The 13,142-nt window shown below is 35.3% G+C and overlaps 1 long non-coding RNA gene across 2 annotated transcripts in view; it reads right to left on the reverse strand.

The window, feature by feature from the left end:
• LOC107984536 (uncharacterized) overlaps window positions 1–13,142 on the reverse strand; it is a 297,729-nt gene that overhangs the window by 83,895 nt on the left and 200,692 nt on the right. Inside the window, exon 3 of one of the 2 annotated variants that reach the window (XR_001749234.2) lies at window positions 4,144–4,194. The exons of the other annotated variant lie outside the window; for it this stretch is intronic. This is a non-coding gene — a long non-coding RNA (uncharacterized LOC107984536). The remainder of the gene's footprint in view (window positions 1–4,143; window positions 4,195–13,142) is intronic. 2 annotated transcript variants of the gene reach the window in all.

Genomic DNA, 13,142 nt, shown 5'->3' on the forward strand with positions numbered 1-13,142 from the left:
CCGTAATGCAATACCACCTTACTCCTACAAGAATGGCCATAATCAAACAATCAAAAAATAATAGATGTTGGCATGGATGCAGTGAACAGGGAACACTTCTACATTGCTGGTGGGCATATAAACCAGTGCAACCACTATGTAAAAGTGTGTGGAGATTCCTTAAAAAACTAAAAGTAGATCTACCATTTGATCCAGCAATCCCACTACTGGGTATCTACCCCGGGGAAAATAAATCATTATATGTAAAAGATACTTGCAGATGCATGTTTATAACAGCACAATTCACCATTGCAAATATATATAAGATATATATATATGAAGGAAAACTACTCAGCCATAAAAAAGTAATAAATTATGGCATTTGCAGCAACTGGATGAGATTGGAAACTATTATTCTAAGAAGCAACTCACAAATGGAAAACCAAACTTTGTATGTTCTCACTCATAAATGGGAGCTAAGCTATGAAGGTGCAAAGGCATAAGAATAACACAATGGACTTTGAGGACAAGGGAGAAAGGGTGAGGGGGGGTGAGGAATGAAAGACTACAAATTGAGTTCAGTGTGCACTGCTCGGTTAATGGGTGCTCCAAAATCTCACAAATCACCACTAAATAACTTACTCATGTAACCAAACACCACCTGTTCCCCAATTACCTATAGAAATAATTACATTAAATTTAAAAAAAGTTGTAATAGATGGGTAGCATGGAGGCTCCAATATTTCATACTCTTCTCTTTCCCTGTCCTTTGCAATGTGACGTGGCATGTCTGCCAGTCAGCCTTTTGAAATTAGACTAGACTTGTGAGTGCTTTGGCCAATAGAATGCCAGTGTGCAGGTTCTGACTCTAGGCCTCAAGAGGCTTTGTGTCCTTCTAGAACTATATCATCTCTGCCATTGCCAAGAGAATAAATCTGGGTACGAGAAGGCTACTGGAAGGTGAGAAACTACATAGAGAGGATATATGCCATTCCCATTGGAAGTCATTCCAGACCAGCCAGCATTCATCTGATCAGCCTAACTGAAGGCAGATCTGTCTGTATCTGAGTTTCTCAGTAGACTGAGCCCAGTGGAAATCAGCGGAACCCACTCCAGATCAGCACAACCAACCAGCTAAATCAGATTATTGAGAAACATTAAATGATGGTTGTTCTAGCCAAATTAAGTTTGAAGTGAGATTATTATGCATGGTATTGTGACAATAGGTGCTTGAGAAAGAGGGACACATTCTTTGTTCTTATTTTTATTAATAAAATAAGAGAAAATGCAGATAAGAATTAATAAAATGTGGGAAATATAAGAAATGTGCAGTAAAAGTAGTAGAAATTATTCTGATAATGTAGACAATGTAGAGGGCTGCAGAGGGGCCACCCAATAAGTTATGTTCACATCCTAGTTCTTCAAACCTATACTGTTACCTTATCTGAAGACAATAAAAAGGGTCTTTGCAGATATAATTAAGGATGTTGAGATAAAGGGATCATTGTGGATGATCCAGCTGGCTCTACATCCAATAACAAGTGCTGTTATAAGACACACAAATGAGAAGACTGACACAAAGAAGGCAATATGGGGACAAAGGCAGAAATTGAAATGATGTAGAAATGAGCTCAGGAAGCTTGCAACTGCCAAAAGGCAGAAGATGCATGAAATAATTTCTTCCCTAAAATCACTGTAGGGAGTGTAGGGAGGAAATTAAGGTTTACCAAAACGTTAATTTTAGAATACTGACCTTTAGAACTGTGAGAGAGTAAATTTCTGTTGTTTAAAGCCACCAAGTTTATGGTAAGTTTGTTACAGCAGCTTTAGGAAATTACTACATATACCAAGCAGTAATTTTTAGCAAAAATATTTTAAACCACATGGTAGTGATAATTAACTGAGTAACTGACTTCAAACTGAAGTCAAATATGAACTAATAGGTTGTTTAGTAATCCATTTAATATTAAAAAGTGAATCACAAAACACAGTAAAAATTTAAATTCTTTCTGATTTCACATGAAAATTGATATACAGATTCTTTTTTTTTTTTTTTTTTTTTTTTTTTGAGACAGAGTCTCAGTCTGTTGCCTAGGCTAGAGTGCAATGGTGCAATGATGCGATCTCAGCTCATTGCAACCTCTGCCTCCTGGGTTCAAGCGATTCTCCTGCCTCGGCCTCCAGAGTAGCTGGGATTACAGGCATCTGCTACCACGCTCTGCTAACTTTTGTATTTTTATTAGAGACGGGGTTTCACCATGTTGGCCAGGCTGGTCTTGAACTCCTGACCTCAGGTAATCCATCCACCTTGGTCTCCCAAAGTTCTGGGATTACAGGCATGAGCAACCACGCCCGCCTCACAGATTCTTAAAATTTATAAGTTACTATGGCACATACATCTACAGTAAATAGGTTAATTAATATAATCAAGGTAAAAACTATGTTGAATTAGCCACTGCCCAAATTATCTTGAAATGCCTGAATATATTACATCTTGATGGCAGTTTCCCACATGTGACAATACTGTCATATCCACAGACTCAATTAGCCACAGATTGAAAATATTTAAAAAATTAAAATGCAATAATTTAAAAAGTACAAATAAAACCATACAGTATAACAACTAATTACAGAAAACTTGCATAGTATTAGGTATTATAAGTTATCTAGAGTTAAAGTATATAGGAGAATATACATAGGTAATATGTAAATATAATGTAATTTTATATAAGAGACTTGAGCATCCACAGATTTGGGTGTTTATGGGCATCCTGGAACAAATTCTCCATATATATCAAGGGGCAACTCTAACCTTAAAAATACACATATTACCAATAAAAATTTTGAATATGATACAAACTTTTCTAAACTATCAATGACAAAAAACAAATTGTGATTCATAACTCTAAAGAAAGACTCAATTTTCTTTCTCTTCTCACTATAGCAAATCATATTACAAAATAATTTTCATACAGGAAGAATATGTATATATCACAGAATATATAACCAAAAACGAAAACCAAAAATTTATTTTACAGATCTAACAGGAGAGCTAATAAATAAAATGCATTTTATTTTTGAATATTTATGGTGATGATTGTCAGCTGTTTAAAAAATATAATTTTTTGAAATTTGTTTTTCATATTCTAAACAAACATGCACTTTACTATCTAAGTTGGTATTCATAATTTTAACATTTTTTTTCTTGAAGAGTTTTTTCCCTGTAATGTGTATAAGCTTTATGACCTACAAAAATCTTGATCTTCTGTTGGCCTTAATGACATTCTTAAATCTGTGGCTGTCTTTGTCTTGTCCATACTAGCATCCAAAAATAGTCAGCTTATGATTTATTGTGTCCTGGTCTCTGCCACTTGAGGAAGACCCTGAAGCTTCCTTCTCCCTTCCTATGGTCAGAGCTTCTCTATTTCTCATGGTTCAGAATTATTGGCTAGTCTGGGACAGTCCTGTTTGGGACAGTCCAACTATTCACTTCTCTATTGTGGGAGTGTAAACTAGTTCAACCATTGTGGAAGACATTGTGGCTATTCCTCAAGGATCTAGAACCAGAAATACCATTTGACCCAGCAATCCCATTATTGGGTGTATACCCTAAGGATTATAAATAATTCTACTATAAAAACACATGCACACATATGCTTATTGCAGCGCTATTTACAACAGCAAAGACTTGGAACCAACCCAAATGCCCATCAATGATAGACCGGTTAAAGAAAATGTGGCACATATACACCATGGAATACTATGGAGCCATAAAAAAGAATGAATTCATGTCTTTTGCAGGGACATGGATGAAGCTGGAAGCCCTCATTTTCAGCAAACTAACACAGGAACAGAAAACCAAACACCACATGTTCTCACTCATAAGTGGAAGTTGAACAATGAGAATACATGGACACAGGGAAGGGAACATCACACAATGTTGCCTGTTGCAGGGTTAGGAGCAAGGTAAGGGAGAGAATTAGGAAAAATACCTAATGCATGTGGGGCTTAAAACCTAGATGAAGGGTTGATGGGTGCAGCAAACAACCATGGCACATATATACCTATGTAACAAACCTGCACATTCTGCAGATGTATCCCAGAATTTAAAGTAAAATAAAAAAAAAAAAAAAGGAAAAGACAAGAAAAACAAAACACTCTTACCTTTCCACTGGATGCAAAGGAACCTATCCTTACTTATTCAAAGCTCTTCTTCTGTCAAAGAAAAAGAGAAATTAACTTCTTCTATTGTATCTTACACTGCCACAGAAAATTAAGGCATGCCACAATTTTTCCTGAGAAATGATTTAAAACAAGGTATTTTAAGAATTTAAATTGGCTTAGATGGAACCTTAGAACCTTTCCCCTGACCACCTTCCCGTCACCTCATCCCACTTCCTATCACCTTAATAACCTTTGATTTGAGTCCCCAGATGTAGGAAATTTAATTTCGGTAGTAATTTTGGAGTTGGTGAGATTTCACATCTCAAATTTACGTTTTTTTCCTCACATAAGGAACTAAAAAAAAGGGCATCTTTTGCCTTGACAGCAATTAAAATGAACTGCCATTCTTGGAGTTCCTCAACGTGCATTTACCTACAGGCCTTTGCCAGCTGTTACAAATTCTCCCTCATGGGTCATGCTTGACATTGCCACTGGCATGTATCTCTCTTTTCTTTGTCACCAAGACTCTGCCCCTCCTGTCACTGTCAGTCTTCCACTGTAGCCTTCATGTCACTGCTGAGAGTGTTCTCACAGAGGTGGCTGGGGCACCCTTTCACTTGGGAGACTGCTGCTCTCTTCTTATCTTACAGCTTCCAATGTCAAGCAATTACTCTCATCTTCTGCTCAGGGAATATTTGAATGTTAACACGACATACACTAGAAAATGTTCTTTTCCGTGTTCTTTTTAATCACTAGATCATTACTAGACCTTATATTTCTGTTCTCATCTCAGGTGAGTTTCCCCACCCTTCATCCATATGCATTATCTAAAAGGGCAGTGATGGTCTTGCCCCAACCCTAACATATATTTATATTTTGCCTCAAATAGTAACATTATATTTTTCCATGTATTTATGTTTTTTTTTTCTTACAGGAAGTACATCTGCTCTTATGTACATAGAAGTCTTGATGGCCCACCCATGTGTGCTAGTGGAAATATAAGTTAGAGTCTTTGTTGGGTCCAGAAAGGAAAGGTTGTACAGGGGGATAGCAACTATTCTTTCTTTCTTCTTCTTCTTGGTGTTTTTTTTTTTTTTTTTGATGGAGTCCTGCTTTGTTGCCCAGGCTGGAGTGCAGTGGTGTAATCTCGGCTCACTGCAACCTCCGCCTCCCAGGTTTAAGCAATTCTCCTGCCTCAGCCTCCCAAGTAGCTAGGACTACAGGCACATGCCACCACGCCCGGATAATTTTTGTATTTTTAGTAGAGACAGGGTTTCACCTTGTTAGTCAAGATTGTCTCAATCTCCTCACCTCATGATCCGCCTGACTTGGCCTCCCAACGTGCTGGGATTACAGGTGTGAGTCGCCACGCCTGGCCTAGCAACTGTTCTTTCATGAATTTTTCCTCCACAGAAAGTATAATTTTGTCTTACATATAATAAATGTATATATAAAATATATATGCATAGTATATAATATTAAATTTTGGAATTGGGGTCTTGCTCTGTCTGTCACCCAAGCTGGAGTGCAATGACACGATTTCAGCTCACTGCAACCTCTGCCTCCCAGGTTCAATTGATTCTCCTACCTTAGCCTCCCAAGTAGCTGGGATTACAGGCATGTGCCACCATACCCAGCTAAGTTTTTTTCTGTTTTTGGTAGGGATGGGGTTTCACCATGTTGGCCAGGCTGGTCTCACACTCCTGACTTACAGTGATCTGCCCACCTCAGCCTCCCAAAGTTCTGGGATTACAGGCATGAGCCACCGTGCCTGGATGATATTAAATATTAACCAATTATATACATGCACATACATATAAACACACATTACTGAGTAGAATATCCCAAAGACTGCCAATACATTTTTTCCATTTGGTCAAGAAGGCGGTTTCCAAAATCCCATAGAAATCTTTTAATAACTATATCAATATTATTTCTCCCCTCATTTAACCCTCCAACTAACCCTTATTAAAGTTTTACCACCTACCTCCTATACAAAAGATTAATGATGTTTGGAAACATTCTATAGATGATTTTTCTAAGTCACTGTGAGACAAGTTGCATTAAAATGACATGAGACAGACTAAAAATGATTGAAATAAATTATTCTTATAAAAAGAACATTTTAGAGATTAGTTTTAAAATGAATAATAAAGTTTCTTTTAGAGTTTTAAAGACTAAGGACATATTAATCAAAGAAAATTAGAGACACGTGGAACAGTACAAAGAACACATAAATATTATGTAAAACATGGATGTCCAAACTTTTGGCTTCCCTAGACCACATTGGAAGAAGAAGAATTGTTTTGGGCCACACATAAAATACACTAACACTGATGAGCTTAAAAAGAAAAAGAAATCTCATGATGTTTTAAGAAAGTTTACAAATTTGTGTTGGATCACATTCAAAGCCATCCTGGGACTCACGCAGCCCACAGGCCACAGGTTGGATAAGCTTGATGTAAAATTCTACTTCATAGAAATAACCACTGTTAATTTCCTCTTACATATATATTCATGTTTATATACACAGATATGCACAGAACTGGAATCACACTGAACATATTTATTTATATACTCACTGTAATCATTCTTTCCATTTAATTTATTTTATACACTTTTAATATATTTAATGTATTGTGAACTTTTCCTTAGCTTAAAAATATTCTTCTAAGCCATTGCATTTAAATACAATGCTGTGGCTTGATTTTTTTTGCTAATAAAGCAAGACATTATCATGTGGATATAAATAATGGGAAAAGGCAAAGGCCATAGATAATTGAAATGTTATTTTGATGAGATATAGTTCTCTTTTTTTTCCCTTAAATAACTAATTGTTTGACTAATAAACCTAGAGCTAGGGATTCTAACCCTGAGTCTTAAACTACCTAGGTTATATGGAATAAAAATTCATAAAAGCAAATTGATGGCCAATATGTGCCAAATGCTTTTAGTAACTTATAAATTTTGAAGCATTCAAAACCTCCCACGTAAAGGGTCATTGTGTGTGGGTAAGGATCATTAAGGAAAAATGTATAGGTATTTATTTTGCACTATTTGCAGAACCAAAGGAATATTTTGAGTGAGGTACCAATGCATGACAATAATGTCAGAATGATAAAGGATTTCAGAATGCACATTAAAAGCTATGACTATTAGGAATACTGCTAGTAGTCATATTTACAATAAATATTTGAGGAATTGCTCATGAAATGAGCAACAAATCTAGATTGATAGAAACTTTTATTTGAAAGGATGAGTGCAAGGAGAGAAAGGGACTATTTACAATAGGGCGAATGTTCTAACTAAAGGGTCTTCCAAGCATCTCAAGAGTTAGGCAGAAAGGGGTTTTCTTTTACAGAGATGAGTAAACAATGCTGGAAAGAACGAGGTGTAGGGAATGGGGATGAAAGATAGGGTGGCATGATTGGAGGGCATGCCAAGGAATATTTTAACCTAAGACCAGCCTGTTTTCAGGAGGTCTGCATGCTGGCTCAGACTGAGGGTGGGCCAAACCTCAGAAGCCTTCAGATCCAGAATTTTGAGTCTGTCTTTGGCTTTGTAATAGGTGTAATCATTAATGTTGTGTGTCAACTTGATTAGGTAACTGGGTGTCCAGATGTTTGGTTAAATATTATTTGTGAATGTGTCTGTGAGGGTGTTTCCAGATGAGAGGATGAGATTAACATTTCATTCAGTAGACTTAGTAAATCAGATGGCTCTCCCCAGTGTGAGTAGGCACTAGCCAATTTGTTGAGGGCTTGAATAGAAAAAAGGGAAAGGACAAGCAAATTCACCCTTCTGTCTGAGTGTTTGAGCTGGAAATTCAAATTCACCCTTCTGTCTGAGTGTTTGAGCTGGAAATTCAAATTTACCCTTCTGTCTGAGTGTTTGAGCTGGAAATTCAAATTCACCCTTCTGTCTGAGTGTTTGAGGTGGAAATTCAAATTCACTCTTCTCTCTGAGTGTTTGAGCTGGAAATTCAAATTCACCCTTCTGTCTGAGTATTTGAGCTGGAAATTCAAATTCACTCTTCTGTCTGAGTGTTTGAGCTGAAATCTCAATTCTTCTCCTATCCTTGGACTGAGATTTATACCATCAGTATTCCTGGTTCTTATGCCTTTGGACTCAGAATGGAATTGTACCACCAGCTTTCCTGGGGACTTCTGAGCCAATTCTTTATAATAAATTTATCTGTGTATACACATACCCACAAAGAAATATAGACATATATACCTACACAGAGAGAGAGAGAGAGAGAGAGAGAGGCAGGAATCACTTAACAAAAGGAATACATTTTATGAAATGCAGCCTTAGCCAATTTCATTGTTGTGTGTACATCATATAGTGTACTTTCACAAACCTAATTTGTATATCCTTTTACACACTTAGGCTATATAGTATAGCTAAGTGTTTCTAAGCTACAAAACTGTACAGCATGTTACTCTACTGAATACCATAGGCAATTATAACACAATAATCAGTATTTGTGTATGTAAACATATCTAAACATGGAAAAGGTACTGTTGAAGTATTGTATAAAATATTTAAAGAAATTATACCCATGTAGAGGTCATTAGCCACTAATTGAGCTTGCAGGACCCAAATTTGCTCTTGGTGATTAAGAGGTGAGTGAATGTGAAGGCCTAGGACATTACTGTACAGTATTGTAGACTTTATAGACATTGTACACTTAGGATACATAGAAATTAATTTATAAAATTTTCTTTTTTTCTATAAATTAATCTTAGCTCACTATTACTATTTTACTTTATAAACTTTTAGATTTTAAATTTTTTGACTCTTTTCTAATAATACTTAGCTTAAAACACAAACACATTGTACAACTGTACAAAAATATTTTTATCTCCTTATTCTATAAGCCTTTTACTATTTTTGAAATGTTTTATTTTATTTTTTACTTTTTAAACTTTTTTTTGTTAAAAAGTAAGACACAAACACACATATCAGCCTAGGCCTACAATGGGTCAGGATTATCAATATTATTCTCTTCCACCTTCACATCTTGTCCCACTGGAAGGTCGTCAGGGGCAAAAACACACGCGCAGCTGTCATCTCCTATAATAAAAATGCCTTCTTCTGAAATATTTCATGAGCATCCTGCCTGAGGCTGATTTATAGTTAACTTTTTTTTATTAGTAGAAGGAGTACACTCTAAAATTGCAATAAAAGTATAGTGCAGTAAGTACCAGTATAAATACATTCACCAATATCATAAGTCATTTGTTATCAAGTATTATGTTACTGCACATATTTGTATGCATTATACTTTTATATGACTGGCAACACAGTAGGTTTGTTTACACCATCATTATCACAAACATGAGTGATGTGTTGCAATATAATGTTAGGTTGACTACAACCCTACCAGGTGATAGAAATATTTTATTTCAATAAAAAATTACAATCCTATGGGGTTACATTACATTACAATCCTATGGGGCCATCATTATATATGCAGTGCATTGTTGACCAAAATGTTATGTGTCACATGACTGTATACATACATATCCTATTGTAAATATCAGTGTTGCTCTTTCCTTTGCTATTAAAACCAGGCTAAGGATGATGTTTCCCTTCACTCATAGTCACTGAACTGATAGGAGATTTCCATATTTGGGTTCTCACTGGTTCTATCACAGTGACACCTCATTCTCATTTTTCCTGTTGGCTCGATTCATTATAGAATATCCAGTCTGCCGCGCATGTTCCCTATAAAATTTAAGGTATATTTCTTATTATGTATTTGAGTTCTCATACTTATTTCATATCCATACCTCTTAACTCTGATAATAAATGGAGACATGGCCTCACTTTTAAATGCTTTGTTGCCAGGTTTATATATATATATATATCTGTGTTTCTTTTCCTGTTTACAGTCTATTTGAAATCTTTGTTTTTTTCCATCCATCCACAGACTTCCTTCTCCAGTAGCACTTCATTTTTCACACAAGTTCGGTCTTGATTTACAGTTTACTAATTGTGATACAGTCTATGAATACTCATTGCATCTACATTCACAGAATTTGAAAAAAATGGGCTGTATTTATGGTTTCATCAGACTAAACTAGCCAACATGTTCCTTTCTATTTTCTCTATCAAAATCTTTCATTATTTTCTCATAATTATTTATGACTAGCTGTATCAAATTAAGAGATAGAAGAAAAATGAAAAATGTTTAACCTCTACAGAAAAAGTCTGTTCTCCAGTTGTAACTAGGGCTCTAGATAAATGCAAACATCCTTACTATTCCACAAACATGTTGGATAACATATTGAAAGACATTGAGAAATCCATTAAATTTTTAAAAGCAGAGCAGTTTTCCCAGGGATAGCTCCACAGGCTTAGCTTGTCTGAAAAACAACATAATTGAAACTAAGCTGCAAAGTCTAGTTTAGGGGAGGATTAAGCTGAGTACTTGAAAAAAGCTGATATGATGCCCACCACTATCCACTCACTTCACTGAGGGTAGATTTCTTCTGCTGACCTTCCTGGTCAAGTGCAATGTCCTCAAGAATTGTGTGGGGGACATTTAAAAAGTTACCTATATCAATACTGACAGCCCATTCCTGCTAATAGTATTCCTTAGTCTAAACCTGAATTTCTGAATATGAGAAAATAATAATTGGGAAAAACTGACAAAAAGAAAAGAACAAGTAATCATAGGACATGCTTTTTATTGAAGCAGAAATAACTTAGGAAATAGTCTAGTACTTTTGAAAATAGTCTAAGTAGTACCCTCAGTGAGATAATAGACAATATTAGATAATTAGATAATAGGCAAAAAGACAATGTTTTAATAAATCAAGAATATTCAGCTATGAGGGAAGAAAATCTGTATCTTTAAAATTAACCAAAAAGTCATGGTCATTTAAAAAGAAACCTGTTGGTTGGGCATGATGGCTCACACCTGTAATCCCTGCACTTTGAGAGGCCGAGGCATGTGGATCACTTGAGGTCAGGAGTTCGAGACCAGCCTGGCCAACATGGTGAAACCCCATTTCAAATAAAAATATAAAAATTAGCCAGGCATGGTGGTGGGCCCCTGTAATCCCAGCTACTTGGGAGGCTAAGGCAGGAGAATCACTTGAACCCAGAAGGTGGAGGTTGCGGTGAGTCAAGATCGTGGCATTGCACACTCCAGGCTGGCCAGCAAGAAAGAAACTCCATCTCAAAAAAAAAAAAAAAAAAGAAAGAAAGAAAGAAAGAAAAGAAAAAGAAAAAGAAACCTGGGAAACTTGGGACTCAGTATAGTTAAGTGATCTGCCCAGGACTGCATAATGATGATAATCTGAATTTTGTACTAGTATATATATTCAGAAATAAAATTTGATGCTATTTTCAATATGTTATACTGTGTTCTACTTTACTCTGTTATGCTATTGTACTATACTGTAAGATACTCTTATACTATACTGGAACATCCTATCCTAAAAGATTTTGTTTTCTTCCTATATCACTTTCAACTTTACTATGCAGTACAAAACATACCACACAATGCTACTTCATACCAAAACACCTAGATGCAATATGATTAAAAGCAAAGATACTTCAATTTAGAACATTTTTGTTATTAGCTATTTTCTCTTTGATGGCAAATAGTATAATTCACATTTAAAGTATGCACACACACACACACACACACATACACATACCCATAAATATTGCCGAATATCTGTCAGCAACACTACCTAGGTTATTCAATAAGTAATAGTTTTTAATGAAATTATGCTGAGCACTTTTATTATGGTTTTGTATTTCCAACATGAATTTATTATTATATATTAGAACAAAAAAAGATATAGACAGGTAGTCTGAAGGAAACCAGTCCAAGAAAAAAATTATTCTATATTAAGAAGTTTTACTGGCTTGATGAACTAAAACTATTAATGTTTCTCAATAGCAATTATAAACATCGCTCTTTCCATGTGACAGCATTCCTCACTGTAAAGTTATCCATTTACTTGTTTATTAATGATTGTGAAATTACTATTTATATGCTACAATGCTGCATATAAGCATCTAAACATTACTAATTATTTCACATTCAGGTTAAATAGCACAGTTTTTATGCCTAAATGAATGTACTCTGGAGTTTATCACTGAACTATTGAAATACTTAACCTTCAAACACTACATAAATATTTTCTTACATATAAATATTCTGCAGAAGAAATAGACATAAGCTAAATTATGCTTTAGGCTCAAGAAAATTAGAAATGTACATGGAATTTCATAGTTCTGCTCTTACAGTTCCTTTTTGTAAAAAGAGAATCTATCTGGGTGACCTGGCTGTCAAGTGCTGTGAGACTGATCACCTCACTAGATAATTTACTAGCTTCTTATCAGCACAATCTATTACAGCTCCAGCCAAAATATTTGATTTTGGCAGAGGCAATGGATGCAAAGCCTGGCACTTGTGAGTCTATTAGAGCTGCAATTTTTTCATTTGAGACAAATGTGCTTAGTTTCGTAACTCTAGCCTAGCCTATAGAAATAATTGAAGGATCGAAGGATAACTGTTCATACACATTTCTACCATAGATTTAGAGCTAAAAGATTATTCCTAAGATATTTGTTTATAACTTTCATGAACCATTTATTATTTATAATAAAAACACTAGTATTCTTTTGAAGGAGAGTCCCTCCTGTTTTATAGCATCACTTTTGGCACTGGACCAACAAATGCAGTTTGAATAAAAATAAACTTCTTCCAAAAGTGAAAATGAATTGTCAAAAGCAGTTTTTTAAGTGATCTAGCAATCATTATCATATCACAATCCTCATAATAAGCCTGATGCTGTATTTTTAGTATTATTCTAACCTATGCAATGAGAGATGAGTGAAACTATTCTTCAAAAATAAGATTTGATATCCTCCAGTGTCAAAATGGATTGTAGCAACACAAGGCATAATTCCTTTGGCAGAGCATCCTATTTAGTTTCTTTAATGGCATGTTCTTTTACTTGGGCCTGGCA

This window comes from Homo sapiens, chromosome 12 (genome assembly GCF_000001405.40).
Source record: "Homo sapiens chromosome 12, GRCh38.p14 Primary Assembly".
Classification (NCBI taxonomy): domain Eukaryota; kingdom Metazoa; phylum Chordata; class Mammalia; order Primates; family Hominidae; genus Homo; species Homo sapiens.